This window comes from Homo sapiens, chromosome 4, assembly GCF_000001405.40.
Source record: "Homo sapiens chromosome 4, GRCh38.p14 Primary Assembly".
NCBI classification, from domain to species: domain Eukaryota; kingdom Metazoa; phylum Chordata; class Mammalia; order Primates; family Hominidae; genus Homo; species Homo sapiens.
This window is the reverse complement of record NC_000004.12, coordinates 114,657,893-114,679,311: the sequence shown is the minus strand read 5'-3', so window position 1 is coordinate 114,679,311 and position 21,419 is coordinate 114,657,893. Positions and strand designations below refer to the sequence as shown.

Genomic DNA, 21,419 nt, shown 5'->3' with positions numbered 1-21,419 from the left:
AATATGAATACTTTAATTGTGTGGACATCTAAGACCCTTCTAATTAAATTTGTTGGAAAAATGTTTTTGCTGTCAAAAATATCAATAGTATCTTCACATGAAATACATGTCTTCAAAAGCTGGCTAAAATGTTACCATCTTGGAAGCATGATAAGCAGCTCTTTAATGCATATTTTGGAGAAGTTTCAATAATAGGACTCCTATAATTCTCAAACTTCATCATATGAAATGTAAAATTTTTCTATTTCAGACTGTTTTTGATTATATCAACTGCAAATAACCATTCTTTAATGTGATTTAATATTTACAAGCTGGTTGAATTACTTAGAAGCTAGAATGAAATATGAATTATACTTTCAGTAAAACAGATTGTTGGATTATCCCTTGAGGTTTTTCTTCAACTTATTTTGGTTCTTTCATTTATAAACCTTTTATTTTTGAAGTGGAGTCGTTCAGTTTTAGTAGCATTTGGGACTGAGTAAGTAGCTGAGTTTTGAAGAGAATCTCTAGCTTCAATCATAAACTATTACTTTAACCCAAACATTAGCTCTTTTCAACCCTGGACATCCAAATCCTGCCCCTATGTGTATGTGGAGGGATATTAGAAGCTGCCACTCTAGAGGAAAAATGTCTTAATTCTCATTTGTGTTTGACATGATGATAACCAGTTATGGGAATATTTTAATAGTTGCAGAAACTCTTTCTAAATAATAAATGAATAAATACTTTCTTGAAAACTTTATTATAGAATCTAGCCCAAGTGTGGAAAATTTAAAAATCACCCTATTTACCAAAACTGTCTAACAATAATCTTACTAGAAAAAAAAAAAAAACAACAATGATCAGTAAATACCTACACTTAACATTCTGAATTCTGGAACAGAATTTTAAGATCCATGTCGATGTCCTTGTAAGGTAACTCCCTCTGTTTAACAATAAAAAAAAAAGTCTCACATTTAACACGTGTTTCCACACTCATAAATACATACAAAAGTTGGGAGACCTGTCTTAGAAACATGTTTAAAATGAATATATATAATATTATGAAATAAAATCTGAATAAAAATTTTATTCCAACAACACTTCTCTATTTTAAATCATGTTTATTATTTAAGTTTTTATCACAGTGGAGATTAACTTATGTTTAATCATCCAATCAGTGCCTACTGTCAACTTAATCAAATTCCAAAAAAGTAAAATCAACTCATTCATACACTCTAAGTCCTCTTACTATCCCACCATTCATTGCCTGTGTCTTTTTTCCCTTTTAACGGCAACATCGTAATAAGATTGTGAAAAGGTATAACTAATAAGTTTCTATGTATGTATAATACCATTTCTTCAAGTATTCAGAGAGCAGTACATTTGTCTGCATTGTACATTAGAAAACTACTTGTGACATTATTTCTAAGTGCAGGAGAGCAGCTCCTGGTGGGAGAGTAATGAAGTTGTTTGTCATAGTGTATGCCAAGGATTTACAGCACTCTAGAATTTTCACAACTCTTCCATGTTAGTGAATGACATTAGGTAAATGTTGTATTTGCCTACTCTCAGCTATCAGATGTGGGATTTCAAACTAGAAACAAATAAAGCATACACTCAACCAACAAGGGTAGTGCAAGTGCTAAGTAAACAGAATGACATGGAATAAATTCATAGTTGCCAACTAGTGAATGCTTCAGCAGGGAGACCCTGATTTTATGATGTCTGTGACTTGCATCCCTGTTCTCAAATGAATACTGTCACTGCTCCATGTCAGCTACAATGACCGGAAAAGGCTGCTGGGGTGAGGGCTGAGTGAATGAGGAAGATGACAGGAACTCATTTTCACAAACAAGTGGTTCAATTTATCTGTCACATCTGTATATAGTGTAAAGTCTGATTTGTTAACAAGATCTCAAACCTCTCCAGAAAAAGCAGGTACCAATATGGAAAACTGCAAATGTTCCATTTAAAAGAATTAAATGTTGGCACCTATGTAATATAGATTGTATGGCCCAGACAATAAAAGGGATCAGAAGATGGTTTTTTAAAAGTTAAACTTTGGAAATGTAACACCTGAACATTCAAAAATTACATTATAGAAAAGCCATCAGTTACATAAACATTCAACAATACAATGGTGCTGTTTAAAAATGCCCTAGAAGCAATAATCTTCAGTACTTTGAATAAAGTCAGAATTTCATTGCTTTGTCTTAATTATGCATTTAACATATTGTTACTCATTAAAATGAAATAGAAAAAACTATAAAATTCTTCCAGAGGAAAATTATTGGTAGTGGGAAAACAAAAGTAAAACGTGAAAACCAATGTATACATTTACTTAATTACATGTTTTTCCCCCAGAAGTGGCCATACTCTATCAGAAAAGAAAAACAATACAAACAACAACAACAAAAAATAACTAAAAAAAAAAATACAAAAAACTGTGCCATTTCTTTTTTTTTTTTCTTCCTCTGCATCCAGTTTTGGGGGGAAGTGTTCTTTCATGGTAGTGTTCTGAGTTCACACACATTAAATGCTAGAAAAGAAACATCTGGATCCTGACTATCCTTTTACTTTATTCTTGAGTGTGTTGTACCCTCAACAAATGTAACAAGCAGCCAGTAAAAATTCTCTTAATTAGGACACACACACACACACACAAACACACACACACACACACACACATACACACACACACATTATTAAGAAAAATGAAACCATTCCTGATCCGGGACACGCACATATCAAGATTTAAAACTAAGGTCTGACACAGTCACTGAATTGATTTAAATAATTAAGGCTTCTAAAAGGTTCAGTGCCAAAACTCTCTACATCAGTATTTGAATAAAATACATTTCTGCATTTTAGGTTTGTGCTTTTTACAGCCATCTTAATTCCACAGAATTTCATTAGTAGATCTCATAAGGGCATGTTAGAATTGTTTACTGATGTTTTACTTTTAGTAGCTGTTAGACTAAATAATAGCAATAAAAATTCAATGAGTGAACCAATTTATTTCTATCACCTGGGCTGTTGGCTCATTTCACTTTCTTTTCATGTTTAATATGGCCATTTCTTTTGTACTTGCCATTGAGGATTCCATTGTGGTAATGTCCATTAACTGTGCTATGCTTATTTCTAGACCACAGACTTTTGATTTTTCTGTAGATAAATTTTGTCACCCAAGACAAGAGAAAGTATAACAAGGCAGCACCAAGCAAAAGCACAAAGGCAATATCCAGTAAAAAATACTGACAAAAGGAGATCTGATGGACAGCGGCACGTAGGTGATGGGCTCCATTGTGACGAATAATATAATCTATCCAATAGATAGTTCGATTGACAGGGTGACCAGGTTGATCCTTGTGAATTTCCGAAAGCTTCTGAGCCCTCTGACGGTAGCTATGGAGAGGGGACAAAACACAGAATGATGATGCTTATAATAAAGTTCTATATTTATGCATATCTTCATTTAAAAAGGGGAAATAATTAAAACAACTATTCTTTAGTAAGTACCTTGCATGTACAAGCACTGTGTTAAGTGCTTTAAACACATTATCTTTTTTTTTTTTTTTTTTTTTTTTTTTGAGACGGAGTCTCGCTCTGTCGCCCAGGCTGGAGTGCAGTGGCGGGATCTCGGCTCACTGCAAGCTCCGCCTCCCGGGTTCACGCCATTCTCCTGCCTCAGCCTCCCAAGTAGCTGGGACTACAGGCGCCCGCCACTACGCCCGGCTAATTTTTTGTATTTTTAGTAGAGACGGGGTTTCACCGTTTTAGCTGGGATGGTCTCAATCTCCTGACCTCGTGATCCGCCTGCCTCGGCCTCCCAAAGTGCTGGGATTACAGGCGTGAGCCACCGCGCCCGGCCTAAACACATTATCTTATGTTAACCCAATAAAATGTATTTTAAATTGGTGAGAAAAATGAAAATCGGAGACTAACTTGATTATGTTACAAAGTTGAGACCCAGAATTTTCTGACTCCAAACCCTATGCTGTTTCCACACTACATTACATGTAGTTCTTCTCTCCACATACTTTTAAATAGTATAAATCAACAAGTTTCAACCAGGATGGAAACTAAATTTATTAGATTCTAAAAGAAAGATGGAGAAAAAGATACAGAACTTCATTCTATCACTTTTTAAGCAATAATATTTAATTTTGTTTTAATTTAAAATAACATTAAATATGGGGTGAAGATATATTATTAAAGAGATAAAAAAGAGTTGGGAAACACCATGAAGTCAGATTTGATGTTATATGCAGTATATATGTATAGGTAATGTATGCATGTATATATGTATAAAGAAAACACCCTCTTAAATGATTAAAAGACCAAGGAAAATGGGGAATCACAAAGTGATAAAATATAAGCATTTTATTTTAATCTAAAAACATGTGACTGCACATTCATGTGCCAATCTTTGACAAATGGCTAAATCCCCCTTGCATGAATTCATGACTGAAGTTTGTATTGTTTAGACATAAGAAATAATTTCCACCTCAAGAGATACAAAATCTATCATGGAGGATATAGCACTACTGAGTTGTGCATTATAGAGGAACAAAAGATTGGACATGTGTGAAGACTTGATAAATCAAGAGAAGAGTGTAAACTAAATCATAAAAGTGGGAGACTGAGAATATGCCCAGAACAAATTCATTTGGAAAAAGTATGAAGTTTAGTTAGAAATTAGATTGGAAGAAGATGAGTCTTCCCCATGGGTATTCTGAATGACAAGATATAATAGCTTCTTTCTTAGAACCAAAGAGCCATTATATCAGGGAGACAGGCTGTTAAAGCAGAGGGAAGATACTCGTGATGGAAAGTCCATTAAAAAGACCTCAATAATGACCAATGAGAGACTGACTAAAAAAATGGTGGTGGGATTAGACAGATAAAGGGAAGGGAAATGGTGTAGTAGAAGAGTTGGCAGGAGTTGGTAAAAGTGTGGATTAAATGTGAAGGGAAAGGGAGAGATCATATGTAATTGCAATGTTTCCAGCTTGAATGACTCACATGGCAGAGTTAATTAACAGGACACAGTAACACAGAACACGGGACATGCTGCTGGAAATGATTACAGTTTGGGATGTAATGAAAGGAAAGGTCGAGAGAGCCACTAGAAATGTGAGGATGGAGCTATAAGATTACAAAGCCCAGTGAAAAATCTACTCAGATATTTATGAGTTGATTTGATGAGCCTTTATTTTTTATGATTTCACTCTAGACCTAAACATTAAGTTTTAACAATTATGCAAAAAAATTGAGAGGCAGTGAACAGAAGGTTGTTAGGAGTGAGAGAAAAAACAAATGAAGGCTATTACATAAAAGTATGTAATTAACAGGCACGTTTTCTCTCTCATCAATGCCTCATAAGAAAATTACAACCAAATAATAAATCTAGTTGTATTAAAAGTACAAAAACCTCACCAAATATTAAAAGGCCATCCTCAGTTGCTTTGTAATTTATCATAATTTCTAACTGATGGCAAAAGGGAAACTAGAAAGTTTCTACTACTCCATTTTATGAGAAAATGCTTATGGGGCAAAGGAGTATCTTTAAAATACAAAAATGAAACGTGACATCTTAGAAAATAAAATCCAATCTTTTATTTTAACAAAGATGGAAAAGAAGGATAAAAACAATCTTAAGTCTTCAGGTACCTTAATGTCACTGTGTATATAACCCTTTCTCTAGTGATGATTAAACAGATTAAACAGATGCTTTAATGGAAAATCTCACTTCTTGTACTCTTGAATAAATTATTAACTCATATGGAACTCCAATATGTTTACTTGGTCCTAGATCACTAATTATCAGAAAAGCTCTTGACATCTGACTCAGCTTATCTGAACAGGGACTTTCATCGGTCAGACTCTTAGTCCCACCTAGGAGTAGACTTATAAAGCTGGATTGCTAACTAACCGATTTCATTTTGTATGACTATTCTGTTCAGAGGAGGTCCATGGATCAACTGGAAAGGAATATTGGAGAACTCACAGATAAATTTTTGAGGGGCAGGTATTTTCCATGCTGAAACTGGTCTCAAATTTAATGTAGTGGCATTGTCCCATGAGCATAGTTTATTTTACAACTCAAAATTCCTTCCAGTAAGAATATGAATATTGCAAAAAAATAGTGTGATTAAAAATGGTCACTCCAGACACCTCTAAGTTATTCCAAGAGATCTCTTAGATAAAGCCCCTTTTAATAAAACAATTACCTTGTAAGGGGCTCACATGTACATTAAATTTTACAAAAGTATAAATATCTTCTATTAAAAGTTGACCACAGGTTGGATATGTGCGAAGTTAATAATGATCGATTCTCCATCTTTCTTTCTAACTTATTTTGTAATAATAAAAGCTCCAGACTCAAAGGAATCCTCCCAAACAAACAAAAAAGCAATAGGCCTTTATTAAATGAATCCAAAGCATTAGGAAACAGAGACGTAAGATGTGTAATTTTACTTAAGTTGTGGATTAATAAAAGGAATACTTTTGGGGGGTTTTGTTGTTCTTGTTATTTCTTCTAAAAGAAAATGGAATACATGTGCAGAATGTGCAGGTTTGTTACATAGGTATACATGTGCCATGGTGGTTTGCTGTACCTATTGACCCATCCGCTAAGTTCCCTCCCCTCACCCTCTACCCCCAACAGGCCCTGGTGTGTGTTCTTCCCCCTCTCTGTGTCCATACGTTCTCATTGTTCAAGTCCCACTTATGAGTGAGAACACGCAGTATTTGGTTTTCTGTTCCTGTGTTATGTGCTGAGGATGATGGCTTCCAGCTTCATCCATGTCCCTGGAAAGCACGTTACCTCTTTCCTTTTTAATGCTATATACTATTCCATGGTATATATACCACATTTTATTTATCCAGTCTATCACTGATGGGCATTTGGGTTGGTTCTATGTGTTTGCTATTATAATTGTATTGCAATAAACATACGTGTGCTTGTGTCTTTATAGCAGAACGATTTATATTCCTTTGAGTATATACCCAGTACTGGGATTGCTGGGTCAAATGGTACTTCTGGTTCTAGATCCTTGAGGAATAGCCATACTGTCTTCCACAATGGCTAAACTAATTTACATTCCCACCAACAGCATAAAGCGTTCCTATTTCTCCACAGCCTCACCAGCACCTATTGTTTCCTGACTTTTTAATAATCACCATTCTGACTGGCATGAGATGATATCTCACTGTGGTTTTGATTTGCATTTCTCTGATGATCAGTGATGTTAACCTTTTTTACATATGTTTGTTGGCCACATAAGTGTCTTCTTTTGAGAAGTGTCTGTTCATATCCTTTGCCCATTTTTTGATGGGGTTGTTTACTTCTTGTAAATATGTTTAAGTTCCCTGTAAATTCTGGATATTAGACCTTTGTCAGATGGGTAGATTGCAAAAATTTTCTCCCATTCTGTAGGTTGCCTTTCACTCTGATGATAGTTTCTTTTGCTGTGCAGAAACTTTAGTTTAATGAAATCCCATTTGTCAATTTTGGCTTTTGTTGCAACTGCTTTTGGTGTTTTAGTCATGAAGTCTTTGCCCATGCCTATGTCCTGAATGGTATTGCTTAGGTTTTCTTCTAGGGTTTTTATGGTTTGGAGTTTTACATTTAAGTCTTTAATCCATCTTGAGTTAATTTTTGTATAAAGTGTAAGGAAGGGGTCCAGTTTCAGTTTTCTGCATATGGCTAGCCAGTTTTCTCAGCACCATTTACTGAATAGGAGATCCTTTCCCCATTGCTTGTTTTTGGCAGGTTTGTAGAAGATCAGATGGTTGTAGATGTGTGGTGTAATTTCTGAGGTCTCTGTTCTGCTCCATTGGTCTATATGTCTGTTTTGGTACCAGTACCATGCTATTTTAGTTACTGCAATCTTGTAGTATAGTTTGAAGTCAGGTAGCGTAATGCCTCCAGCTTTGTTTTTTTGTTTTTGGTTGGTTGTTTTTGCTTAGGATTGTCTTGGCTATAGGGGGTCTTCTTTGATTCCATATGAAATTTAAAATAGTATTCTCTAATTCTGTGAATAATGTAAATGGTAGTTTGATGGGAATAGCATTCAATCTATAAATTACTTTGGGCAGTATAGCCATTTTCACAATATTCATTTTTCCTATCCATGAGGATGGAATGTTTTCAATTTGTTTGTGTCCTCTCATTTCCTTGAGCAGTGGTTTGTAGTTCTCCTTGAAGAGGTCCTTCACATCCCGATAGCTGTATTCCTAGGTATTTTATTCTATTTGTAGTGATTGCTGAATGGGACTTCATTCACGATTTGGCTCTCTGCTTGCCTATTGTTGGTGTAAAAGAATGCTTGCGATTTTTGCACAGTGATTTTGTATCCTGAGACTTTGCTGAAGTTCCTTTCAGTTCAATTTTGGGGCTGAGACAATGCGGTTTTCTAAATATAAAACCATGTCATCTGCAAACAGAGACAATTTGACTTCCTCTCTTCCTATTTGAATACCCTTTATTTCTTTCTCTTGCCTGACTGCCCTGGCCAGAACTTGCAATACTATGTTGAATAGGAGTGGTGAGAGAGGGCATCCTTGTCTTGTGCTGGTTTCCAAAGGGAATGCTTCCAGCCTTTGCCCATTCAGTATGATACTGGCTGTAGGTTTGTCATAAATACCTCTTATTGTTTTGAGATATGTTCCATCAATACCTAGTTTATTAAGAGTTTTTTACATGAAGGGATACTGAATTTTATCAAAGGCTTTTCTGCATCTATTGAGATAATCATGTGTTTTTTTGTCTTTGGTTCTGTTTATGTGATAGATTACCTTATAGATTTACATATGTTGAACCAGCCTTGCATCCCAGGGATGAAACCAACTTGATCATAGTGGATAAGCTTTTTTTTTTTTTTTTTTTTTTTTTGAGACAGAGTCTTGCTCTGTCACCCAGGCTGGAGTGCAGTGGTGCAATCTCGGCTCACTGTAAGTTCCGCCTCCCAGGTTCACGCCATTCTCCTGCCTCAGCCTCCCCAGTAGCTGGGACTACAGGTGCCCATCACCATGCCCGGCTAATTTTTTGTATTTTTAGTAGAGATGGGGTTTCACCATGTTAGCCAGGATGGTCTCGATCTCCTGACCTTGTGATCCACCCGCCTCATGCTGCTGGATTCGGTTTGCCAGTATTTTATTGAAGATTTTCACATTGATGTTCATCAGCGATATTGGCCTGAAGTTTTCTTTTTTGTGTGTGTCTCTTCCCAGTTCTAGTATCAGGATAATGCTGGCTTCATAAAAGGAATACTTCTTTTACAGTATTAGTTACTTGGTTTAAACTAGAATATCTCGGACACAATATTAGTGAGGCAAACTAATATTTTCAATAATTATCACCTGTTAAATGTGGAATATTATCACATTGGAAACAAAGATAAGTGACTTCAGTTTATATAATGACTTTTAGCAAAGGACATGCTACACAAATCACTGGCATTTTTACATTGACTAAGACATCTTTCTATGCACAAAATCCTTTCAGTTAAATATTTAAGGTTTTCAAGTTACATGCAGTTAACTCATTATCTGATGTGCATACTTTTGGGAATGATATAAATTTATTCACTGCATTGAATAATCCTTAAATTAAGCACTTACATGTCTTCAATATTCTATAGCTGGAATTTAATTGCCATGTGACCTAAGATTGCAACCTGTTCTTGCTCTGATTCAGCCTGGTTCATGCCTCGCAAAACACAGCTGGACTAACTTCCTGTGAATAACCTAGATTTTTGCTCTTTCCTTTTCATCTGAGCCAATTTCAGCAGTTCTGCAACTGTTTCCCCATAATTCTACTTAGGGCTATATTTTACAAACTTTCCTGAAAGATTGAAGATAGATACATACATACACACACATATATGATACATGCATGATGTATATGTATGTGTGCATATATATATATATATATATATATATGTATATGAAATAACATCATGTTTTGAAAAGCACACCTTTAAAGAAAAACTATAGATAACAGAAGAAGGGATATACTTAGGCAACCCTAGTTATGGAACACATTGCTCCAATGGCAGAGCTGTATCCGACACTGGATCCTTTAAGAGTCCAGAGCATGAAGGTCACCCCTGAGCTCACATAAAGGCAGCATAATGAACTTCAGTTGAATTCAGCATTTTATATGCAAGCTGCATCCTTTTATATGAAATAATTTTTCTTATTATTGGTTGTTCCTTAGAATGTGGCAGTGTTTCTCAAGTGTTTCTCAGTGTTAAGCCATATCCCCTAGGCATAAAAAGAAAAAGCTTATACGCTTCTAATATTTAATGCTATTGGAAATGCAAGGTAAATTAAATATAATATCTACAAATGAAGAAAACTGCTGCTTTGTTTTAAAACTACACAGGCCAGTTCTTCACCCTTTGAGACTCATTGGTGAACTAGCTTAACTCAGGACCCATCAATAATTTAAAAAGCAAAATAAAGATTCTGCTTCATCATTCACCTGAGTAAATAAATCTCCGTATTTCTGCAATACTCAGTGCTAGGGAAACCCAGCAACACCAGGCTTACCATGCAGTACAAAGAACACTGTCTTGGGAATCAGACAGTCCTGGCTTCTAATTTCAACTACAATTGCTGTGTAAGCCAAATTACTCAAGTTCCATGAATATCAAGTGCCTTGCCTCTATAATGTGGATAATAAAAACTGTGATATACAGCTGTTATAAGTATGAAAATGAAATAAAGCACATAACATTTGACACAATGTAGATATCCAAAGATTGTTCCCATTGCAGTTTCTCCCTGTTTGGAAGATCCTTGCAGAATATTATCTGGTGTCATAACATGGCTGGTCAAATGACTGCTGTTTTCATTTTCTAAATAATAGAAAACATGCACAAAGCATTATCACAGGAATCTAAAGGATATTTCCATAATTTGATAATTTATTGACAATCTATTGAAAATAATTGGCTACTGACAATATACTGTGGTATGTAAGTTCATCAGCTTTAATGTTAATTGAAACCTTACCTGGGATTATTGATAACCTTCACTAGTGCTTCATAGAGCTCTTTTTCAGTAACTGTCTTCCATTCTAGCAATATCCCCATGCCTTTTGCCTGTACTCTGGTCATAGTATCATAATGGTCTCCAAAGAGTGGAATTCCCACTACAGGCACACCATGATATATAGTTTCAAAAATACTGTTCAAACCACCATGGCTCAGGAAGGCTTTAATCTTTGAATGCCCTGAAGAAAGATGAAAAAGAAAACAACTTACAACATTATTACTCTACAGAAGAGATTTTCCCAGAAATTCATTAAAAATCGGCACTACAGTAAACATGCATTTCAGATAAAGGATTCCTAAAGGTGTAATTTCACTGATTCCTGCTCTACACCAATTAAAATATTTGTTATATACCTAATTGTCAGATTTTGATATATCAATTAAAAGCCATTTTTAAGTAGTTGAAATGTATATTACTATTTTTAACACAAATATTGCATGACTAACAACACATATTTAAATGGCCAATAATTATTATGAAGCCAATGAAAGCAAGAAATGCCAAACAATACCAGAGTGAAAAAACAGACATCTACTTTCTGGCTACTCAAATGTTTATCAATATTAAAGTCAAAAACACTTTTTAAAAAAAATGTAAAAAAGGGCTGGATTCCAGAAGTCCATGAAGAGTTTGTGTGCTTCTCCAAAAAGAAATGTTGTAATCACTATTCACAACATTCAAGTTCTATCAGCATTAATATTTCACAATTTTAAGGTTTAATTTTACATTTATGTGCTCAAACATGTAGAGGTAAACATTTATAATCATTTGTAAGACATGAGACATCACATAACATTTAGTTGTTATGGGAATAAAAAAGATAATTTGTCAAAATTAATATGGAAGTTCAAAACCTAGATTTACTCTCCTGGTAAATGGCCTACATTTCTATAAAAGGGATCAAAAGTTGGCATAAGAGTTGTAAAAACAAAACAAAACAAAAACATTGTACTTAGGATATATGTTATTGGCCAGAAAGAAATTATAGCTAGCTGAAATGTCGATCTTTTAAAATACACATGTGCCAGGTACAAAATTAATATGTATGGGAACCATGGTCTCAATGGTGCTCCCAGAGCTCTTCCATTCTGAAGACTGGTGGAATTGGTTAGTCAGTGTCTCTAGCCCTTACCCACAAGTGGCTTTTCTGACTCTTAGGTCCAACTAAAGGATCTGCCCTAGAAGTGGATTTCAAACTTTATTTTTAGCAAAAACCCCTCTCTTTGAACAAAACCTACCACCAAACCCAACAGTTAAATAAAGCAGAGCTGCTGTGTAAAGAGGAGGGGCGGCTACGAGGGGAGGGGAAAGACATTGATTTGGTTCCTACTTCTCATCCCGGAAGAATCTTTTGATCATAGTTAGAAGCTATTAGAGGACTCACAAGGATAGTGCCTATTGTTAAAAAAGATACTAATCTTGAAAAAGTCAGAGTTCTCACACTGAGAAGCCTAGAGCAGCTATGGACTTGAGGAGAGTTTTCAGGCATGGACCTTGCAGTAGAGCCTCACAGTCAAAAAAAAGAAAAAAAGAAAAACAATAAGAAATGGAAAACCCACACACAATAAAAGTTTAGATGTTCATACATAACAGTGTCACACTGTCGCACTGAAATAGTTGATAGTCAGGTTATCTCACTTAAACTTCCTGCTTCTTTCCTATCTTCTAAGGAATCTAAGTCATAACAGTAAAGCCATAAAAGATTTAAAAATAAAAAAATACAAGGATCAAGAAAGGTAAATTGCCTTGTATTCTTTTTTCTTTAGTTTTAGCATTTATAGAATAGTATTATAATAAGCTAGATGAAAATAAATTATATACATAAATAAAATTCTTTACTGGTTTTTAGTTAAATTTAGTTAAAAAACTAATTTAGTTAAAAAACACACTTAAAAGATACGCATATACTAATTACTATTTTAATTTTGAGAATCAAAATCCCCAAGATTAAATAATATAAAATGCTTCAAAAATGCCCAATGATTTAGGACTAAACAGAGCAGATAATCCAGTTAAAGTTAAAATAAATTGACTGTTCCCATGGTCTTCTGCTTCTCTTTGGTTTCAGACAAATGAATAACTTCTAATTTCTCTTGGTTCTCAGACCATCTGTAACAAACCTGTAACCTAAATCTACATTCTTATTGTTTTAACTGTTCTACTTTCATCTGATTACTCTAATTAGGTATAATCTTATTCACTACTAATTTATATAGTTCATTAAGTACATAATTTCCAGATAATTAAAATTGATGGCTGGTCTAAAAATTTTAATATAGAGGCCCAAAGGTTTACATTTTACAAACTGTTTTCCAATAAATAAAGACTTAAAATTTTGGCCTCAAATTTAAGATTTGAGATACTGGATAAAAAACATAATAACTCTACCATATACTACATACATACCGTATACCGTATGAACCTCTGAAGTAAAAAAAAAAAAAAAGTCACATTTATGTAATTAAAACCTAACAGCCAAGTAAGTAACCACACATCATTGACTTACCAAGCAGGTCATTTTGTGGTAACCATTCTATGAGTTTAGTGTTGTTTCCTAGATTCTTTGGTTTGGGTCCAGAAAACCTAAAATGTACACCAGACAATTAGTCTTTTAAAAATCAAACCTTACTCATAGTATGGGCTCTCTGATTAAATTATGAGATTTAAAATAAATGTTTGATGATCTTTTGTTGATATTCTTAAGAATGAAACCATGCTTTGGTAACAGCAAATATTTGATTAAGTTTCTTTTTAATAAAAACTTTCACTGGTTGGAGGAAAAACAAGAAATAATTTGCTTACATAGAGATCTATTTTCCATTGGTTCCTCACGCCTATACACATACAGAGATGGGAAAAACAAACAAACAAACAAACAACAAACAAATAAACCTACACTAGAAGTTATTCCCCACAAACAGCCAGAAGCTGGAACAAGAAGGAGCAGGGAGAGCTGCCACTGCTATGGCAGTCAATATCCCTAAATCCTTAACACCCTGAGTCTGAGGGAAGGCAGAAGTATTGAAAAAAATCAGTAAGTTCTCTTCTTTAGCTTCACCAGAAATAAAAGTTTTGTGGGGTGAAGCACATAATTAGGTTGTTTCCTGCCTGATCTTTAAAAGATAAAACAGAAATATGCTTAACAACTAAGAGGGTGACAAAAGAGTCTGAATGGAATAGACATAAACTGTCCTAAATGAAGCAGAAGAGGTACTTTCTGGGGTTAAGCCTAACAGAGGAAACCCAATGGGACTCGAATCTGAAGGGAAAAGTCCTGAACAGTTAGAATAAAATAAATATCACTGCATAGTTCAGCCAGGAGAAGTGGGAGCTAATCCTTACTCATTTGCTATAAAGGGAAAATCTCTATTACTCAAAGCCTACTTGCAATGGCTTAAGGGGCACTTTCTTCCACTCATGGTAGTAACTATGGGACCGACGTTGTATCCCTAGAGTTCAACAGTGGTAGTACGTGCTCAATAAATACACGCTAAATAAAGTGTTCACGTCTGATTTTTCAGCATTGGGCTGGAAATTCCAAAGACAGTCATGTGCTGGCAATGCCTTCCAAAAGAAGCTGGGGTCAATCTATGGTTCTGTCTTAAACCGTGTTAAATGGTACGTGATTGTGTTTTTAAAGGCCAGGTTTCTTAAATAAAATAAATCAAAAACATAATGTAAAGGAGACAAAGTGGGAGCCCAAAAGAGTCCACGGTATTTTAGGTATTCGTTAATCCATCATTTTCTTCCTCATTTCAAAACTGATTTGAAGGAGTATATAAAAAGGCATGCAATTAAAACTAATTTTTAAAATCATAATAAATAATAAAAGAGTAAACGAGGGTAGAACTCTGAGGGAAATGTAAGTATGCATCTGACACAAGGAAAAGTCATTCTGAATCATATCTTCTTTCTGTGCTATATAGGTCAGAGGTTTCTTTAACCATCATAGAGCCTTATGAATTAATTCCTAGATTTCAACAAGCTAAGAAACAAAATGAAAGTCAAGGGCATCTTGCTAATCTTGTCAGGGAAACAATGTGCTGTGCTTTACTGGGACCTGTGCACTAAACAAGGAGATATTGATTGTCAATAGCAAAGAAACAATCTACATTATTACCTTACCTCCAAATCACTTTTTGAGGCAATCTCCCCAGAGCTCCTGCCAGTTTGTTAGCAATGTCTTCTGACAGATACTTGACACCAGCTCCAAAAGACACCAAGACAAAGCCATGTTCATTAGCACCATTTACCCATCTTTGGAGATCCTGTAAATCAAAACATGGCAGTAAGTTTTACGAAGACCAATGTAGTTTATAATTGGTGTTATTAACAGCCCAGTTAAAAAAAAACCTTTTAAGTAATTTTCTTAAACAATTAGAAAGTAAAGGATATGATATTTTCTTCTAAATAACTGCTTTTGTTTACAACATTTCATCTGATAATGCTAACTGAAATGAGGACATGTGGTTTATTTGGTAAGATCTGTAAGTAACAAAAACAACTTAAAAAATCAGTTGCTAAAGGCTTAAAATCTCAGAAAAAGGTCAAAAATTGGAAATGACAACTGATGCATGTTCAGAAAAAAATTTGTATGCAGACACAAACAAAAGATGTGGATTAAACATATGAAAAATCAATCATACTGGCAAAAATTTGTTAATGTATCATTTACAAATTTTTGCCAGTATGATTGATTTGTGTTGAAAATCAAAGCAGTTCATTTTAAGAAATACCATCCTTACTTCATTTTGTTCTATAGGCACAAGCTTGTTTTTAATGATGCCATCCTTTTGAATAAATCTTTGCCAAAGACACCCAGCTTCAGTTTCCCATAGGAAAATAAATAGAGCCACGGCACGTTGAGGAACACATTAATTCCACTGTAAGAATGACACACTTGCTGTGCATTGATGACTCCTATGCCATAATGCAGTCATGAAAGCAGAAGCCTGACCCATTCTGTGTTCATAATGTGTAGAGTGAGCTGCCACAGTTATATCTCATAGACCCTGCAGGTCTCTAGCTCAGGAAGAGTTATTGCCATGCCTGTGTCAGCCATGCTTCTGCATTTGGCACCACTTTGTAGCATAACGTGATTTGTAGCTAAGGAGTACTGCACAATAAGAAGTATCATCACGGCCAGGCATGGTGGCTCACGCCTGTAATCCCAGCACTTTGGGAGGCCAAGGCAGGTGCATCATGAGGTCAGGAGATGGAGACTATCCTGGCTAACATGGTGAAACCCCGTCTCTGCTAAAAATACAAAAAAAAAAAAATTAGCTGGGCATGGTGGCGGGCACCTGTAGTCCCAGCTACTCGAGAGGCTGAGGCAGGAGAACCTGGGAGGCGGAGCTTGCAATGAGCCAAGACTGTGCCACTGCACTCCAGCCTGGGCGACAGAGTGAGATTCTGTCTCAAAAAAAAAAAAAAAAAAAAAAAAAAAGCATGGTCACAATGGCATCACTGCACCCCTTAATTAAGTATTTAATGGAACATTAAGCCTAAGTTTTCCTTCCTTTCCCTTTTTCCCTTTTCTATTCATTTTATCACCTAAAGAGATCTGTATTAACTTTCTCTATTGTACTCAGCAGGGGACAGAGAGACCACATTTTGTCTCTCAAAAATTAGCGAATAATGTCACTGCATGACCGAGACTGATGACAGAAAGGAGGTACATCCTTCTAGCTACTGAGTAAGTAAAATAGGCTACCATTATCTGGTAGGGAAGAAAACCTTACCAAAACATTGTATTTTCCAGGAAGCTCTATTTATAAATACAGATAATCCTTGACTTATGATTTTTCAACTTTATGATGCTGTGAAAGCGATACTCCTTCAGTAGAGACTGTACTTCAAATTTTGCATTTTGATCTTTTCCAAGGCTTGTCACATGCCTGGGACAGTGACAGTGAGCTGTAGCTCTTACTCTGCAATGTAATCATGAGGTTGAATGGCCAAAACACAACTGTGTACTGTCTTGGCAGATGATTTTCTCCAAGTGTAGGCTAATGGAAGTGTTCTGAGTACGTTTCAGGTAGGCTAGGCTATGACGTTGGTATGTTAGGTGTATTAAACACATTTTGACTTAAAATATTTTCAACTTATGATAGTTTTATCACGACAGAACCCCACTGTAAGTCAAAGAACATATGTATATAAAAGAAATAGAGACTATATCAATTTTGAATTAAAACTTTTATATTCTGCTACATTTACCAAGTATATGTAAGATGCTGAAAATTTAAATGTTATCCGTAGATTGAAATAAACAAGAGCAGAATGATTTAAAATTTTATGTACAGTCCTAAGTTAGATGTACTTAAACATAAATGCTACACGGTAAAATCATATGAATACACATGGTGTATGTAAGCACCATATATAGCCTTTACTGATACGTGAAAGAGTAGAAAAAATTATATTCATCATGTTTCCTTCAGGAAAAAATCTCAGTACTTTTAGAAGATATTATTCCACTTGGCTTAGAAGGAAGAGTGGGAACCAAGGTGACATGCAAACTCCTATTTCCTGAGTTAGAGATGAAAGGCTGGAGCAGAGACAGTGAGCAAGTGGATGCCTTACTGTCCCTCAATGTAACCCCTCCCCATGATCTCTAATCTTCAGCCTAAATTCACAGAACATTTGGTGTGATGGATGCTTTATGAGAACATTGAAGGGGTTGGATTTTGGATTCGGTTGACAAGCAGGTGGTTCTGGAGTCATGAACAGATGCAAGAGCCAGAAGTTGAAGCAATCTTAAATTTGCTGAACTCACGGCAAAACTTTGAAATTGGAACTTCACGATAAGAATACTGATATCGTCCAGTGGTTTGGGAGGCCCTCAGGATATCTTAGCCATATATAAACATACAGGATTTTTTGGAATTTAAGACCCAGTTATAAAAAGCAAATTTATTTAATAACAGCTCTTAGAAAACAAACTCCATGGTAAATGTGTTCAACACACACACACGCACACACACACAAATCCTAACTCCAGAAATGTAACATTTTTACAAGTAAAAGTACTTCTACTCCTGGTCAAATATCTTCTGCTCCTGGTCAAATACCAAATTTTAAAACTGGACTAAATAATTCATTTATAATAGCAACAAAATTCATAAAGACCTACAAATAAACCTAACAGAAATATACCAAATATACCAAATATACATGAAGAAAACATGAAAACTTTTCTAAAGGACAAAGAAGGAAGGAAATCTGAATAAATGGGGACAATGGAACATGATGACAGAGACAATCAGCTACTGATTGAAGAAAAAAATATGAGGTTCTATCCCTCCGCTAGTAGAAGTCAAAGAGCGATTAAAAGTTAAATTGAATTATAATTTTTTTTTTTTTTTTTTTTGAGACAGAGTCTCGCTCAGTCACCCAGGCTGGAGTGCAGTGGTGCGATCTCGGCTTACTGCAGGCTCCACCTCCTGGGTTCACGCCTTTCTCCTGGCTCAGCCTCCCGAGTAGCTGGGACTACAGGTGCCCCCACTACGCCCGGCTAATTTTTTGTATTTTTACTAGAGATGGGGTTTCACCGTGTTAGCCAGGATGGTCTTGATCTCCTGACCTCGTGATCTGCCCGTCTTGGCCTCCCAAAGTGCTGTGATTACAAGCACAAGCCACCACGCCCAGCCTAAAAGTTAAACTGAATTATAATTTTAAAAAGACATTTTAAAAATCAACAAAATAATTAATAGACTGGCAGAAATATTACAATACACATAATAAAGGATTAACACTAAAATAAAATAGGGGGAATAAAACCACAAACACCACCAGAAAACCAGAAAGCACCCAATTCACAGAAGACAACTTAATGGCATAAACATGAAAAGAACCTTTGTTTCACATGAATAATCAGAGAAACAAATTCAAATTGTTTTCATATTGTCTATATAGTCTGTTTTCATATTGTCTATATCGACTCTGTCGATATTTAATATTTCATTAATATTTAATTCATTTTAAAGAATAGAACCTAGAATTTACCCTTTAGATATTATTTTTTTGTAATTTTCTTATAACTGTTTTTGTTTGTTTGCTGGAAGGATAAATGTCTTTTTTTAAATGGCCTCTGGGTTTACTGTTATTAGCAAGCTTTTCTCACTTCAAGATTATCTTTGAAATGGTCCATATTTTCTTTTCATAATTTTACAGCATCATTTCTTTAATGTTTTAATCTTTTATCCAATGAGAATTTATTCTGAAGGAAAGAGTAACAGTGACATCCATCTTTATTTTTAACCAAATGGTTAGCCAGTCTTGTCAACATTAGTTATTTAATATCTCATCATCTCAATTATTTGAAATGCCACCCTCACAGTCTGTTTCTGAATTCTATTCTGTTCCAATGATCTATCCATCTCTGTGCCAATACCAAAGAGTTTTATTTTACATTTTTATATTTGCAATGTTAGATTTTATTACTTTTCATTTTGGGGATTCTGTTACTCTTATACTTAGCATATTTTTAAGGACCCATCTTTTTTGGTAACTCATCAATGGCCATTTACTACCAGTACTACTACTTCTTAAGTAAGTTATGAATATTTGTGGATAAGGTACAGAATAAGCCTTCCATTTCACTCAATACAGGAATTTAGAAATTGCATCGTCTTGTACGTAGACCAGCACTGCATGCACATTTCTCCACTAGATGGCAGGACAGGAATGGAGCGACATCTGGGCTCAACCTGCTTACATGCCCAATCCCGGACTACTTCTATGGGTATAGGGGAAAAACTGACATCTTCAAATTGAAAAGAAAATGATCACAATAAGGGACCAAATACTGAACCAGAAATCAGCAACACTCATAGGCACTCCCCTCACTATATCAGAATGAATAATTCCATTCCTATGCAACTTAAGTAACAGATATCTATAAAGTAATTTTGTTTATAGCTATAAAGTAATTTTCTATGTCTTTTGAAAAGACAACCTTACAATAAAAATAATCATTTTATCTTCTTGTAGGATTAAGTCATCTGTTTGAAGTCTTTTATGGGAAAAGGTAGCATAATAAGGAAATATGGATAATATACATTCTATTTCCTATAATCAGATGCTATATGTTAAGTATTTGCATTTATTTTAATGATCGTGATCCGGATAGACACTGATTTGTTTCTAGTATTGCCAGATTTCTTATCCTAGAGTAATTATATACCAAATGCCTTGACTGGACCACAGGAAGAATGTAGTGAGGGGCTTGTTGTCCTCCCATGTCCCTCCATGTGGTACTGTCCAGCTTAAGCCGGTAAAGCAGCCTGGCTCTGTGAGGCTGGAGATGGGGCAGAACAGAAGCTAAGCAATGTACCAGAGTCAGACTCGGGGAGCAACTACTCCCAAAGTATAAAATTTTCATTATTTTCAGGTAATGTTTTGATATTAGGGATGTCAAACAATGGAAGATGGTGAAAAAATATTCAAAGAAGTGGAAAGCAAGATCTTGAAACTTTTAAAGAAGACACTCATTGGGTAATGCCTTCTTAAAAATATACTCATCCCCCTATCCGAAAATAAACAATTTTTTTTTATTCATTGTGGCCAATGTAAAACACATCCCAATGCAAGAAAATTGTAAGTAGCTTCTTAAAAAATGAGCTTCAGAAACAGTGCAAGTATAATTAAAAGTTGAACGGTGCAAGCCCACCTCCATCCTTGCTATCCTGGATTCTGAGGACATCAGAGTCTTTTAGACCTCTAGAGAGGATAACAGGTCTGAGGTGTGGGGACACACTAGGCTGTCATGTTTGCACTCCAGATCTCTCCTGATACCAGCCTGCAACCCAAACCCACTCTTTTCTCTCCTCCAAGAATGGGAGCCTTGAGAAGGGGCCAGCACAGTAGAGAAACCTATAACACTGCATCCTTTGTTGGCCCCATCCATTCTGAGGAAAAGAATGCCTGGACTGTGAGAGAATCCTACACAGAGATGATAATGGGAGATGAGGGGGGTGGGTGTTGGAGTTCCTTTTCTTATTCCCAACACCAACATCAATAGGCCTCTTTTCCCATTTAATATTTCTGATACAAAGAATGCTCTGCTTTGGTCAGGTGGGTTGCAAAGAATTTCATTCTGCAAAATTTAGTAGGTAAAATGATAGTGAACATTTTGATAGCAAATGCTCTTAAAAAAATCTTGGGATATCAAATGTGATCTCTGACTACTGCTAATATAGTTAACCAAGACTTATTAAACAACAACAACAAACAACACTGAAAATATAAAGGTCACCATTCAAAATAAAAATGCACCAATCATTGTTTTCACTGATTTGTTTGGCAAGAGGCTTGCTTCAAACCCCAATTCCACAATTTGCTGTATGATCTTAATGATGCCACCTATT

At 35.3% G+C, this 21,419-nt stretch overlaps 1 protein-coding gene across 9 annotated transcripts in view; it reads right to left on the bottom strand.

Annotated features, from left to right (window-relative positions):
- Window positions 1–1,086: 1,086 nt before the first annotated feature.
- The window catches only part of UGT8 (UDP glycosyltransferase 8), a 79,824-nt gene continuing 59,491 nt past the window's right edge, over window positions 1,087–21,419 (bottom strand). For all 9 annotated transcript variants that reach the window (XM_047416134.1, NM_001322113.2, NM_001322112.2 and 6 more), the window contains 4 exons: window positions 15,175–15,317; window positions 13,556–13,632; window positions 11,008–11,227; window positions 1,087–3,387 (listed from right to left, as the gene is read on the bottom strand). In XM_047416134.1, coding sequence (XP_047272090.1) covers window positions 3,024–3,387; window positions 11,008–11,227; window positions 13,556–13,632; window positions 15,175–15,317 — 804 coding nt within the window. In that variant the 3' untranslated portion in view covers window positions 1,087–3,023. The remainder of the gene's footprint in view (window positions 3,388–11,007; window positions 11,228–13,555; window positions 13,633–15,174; window positions 15,318–21,419) is intronic.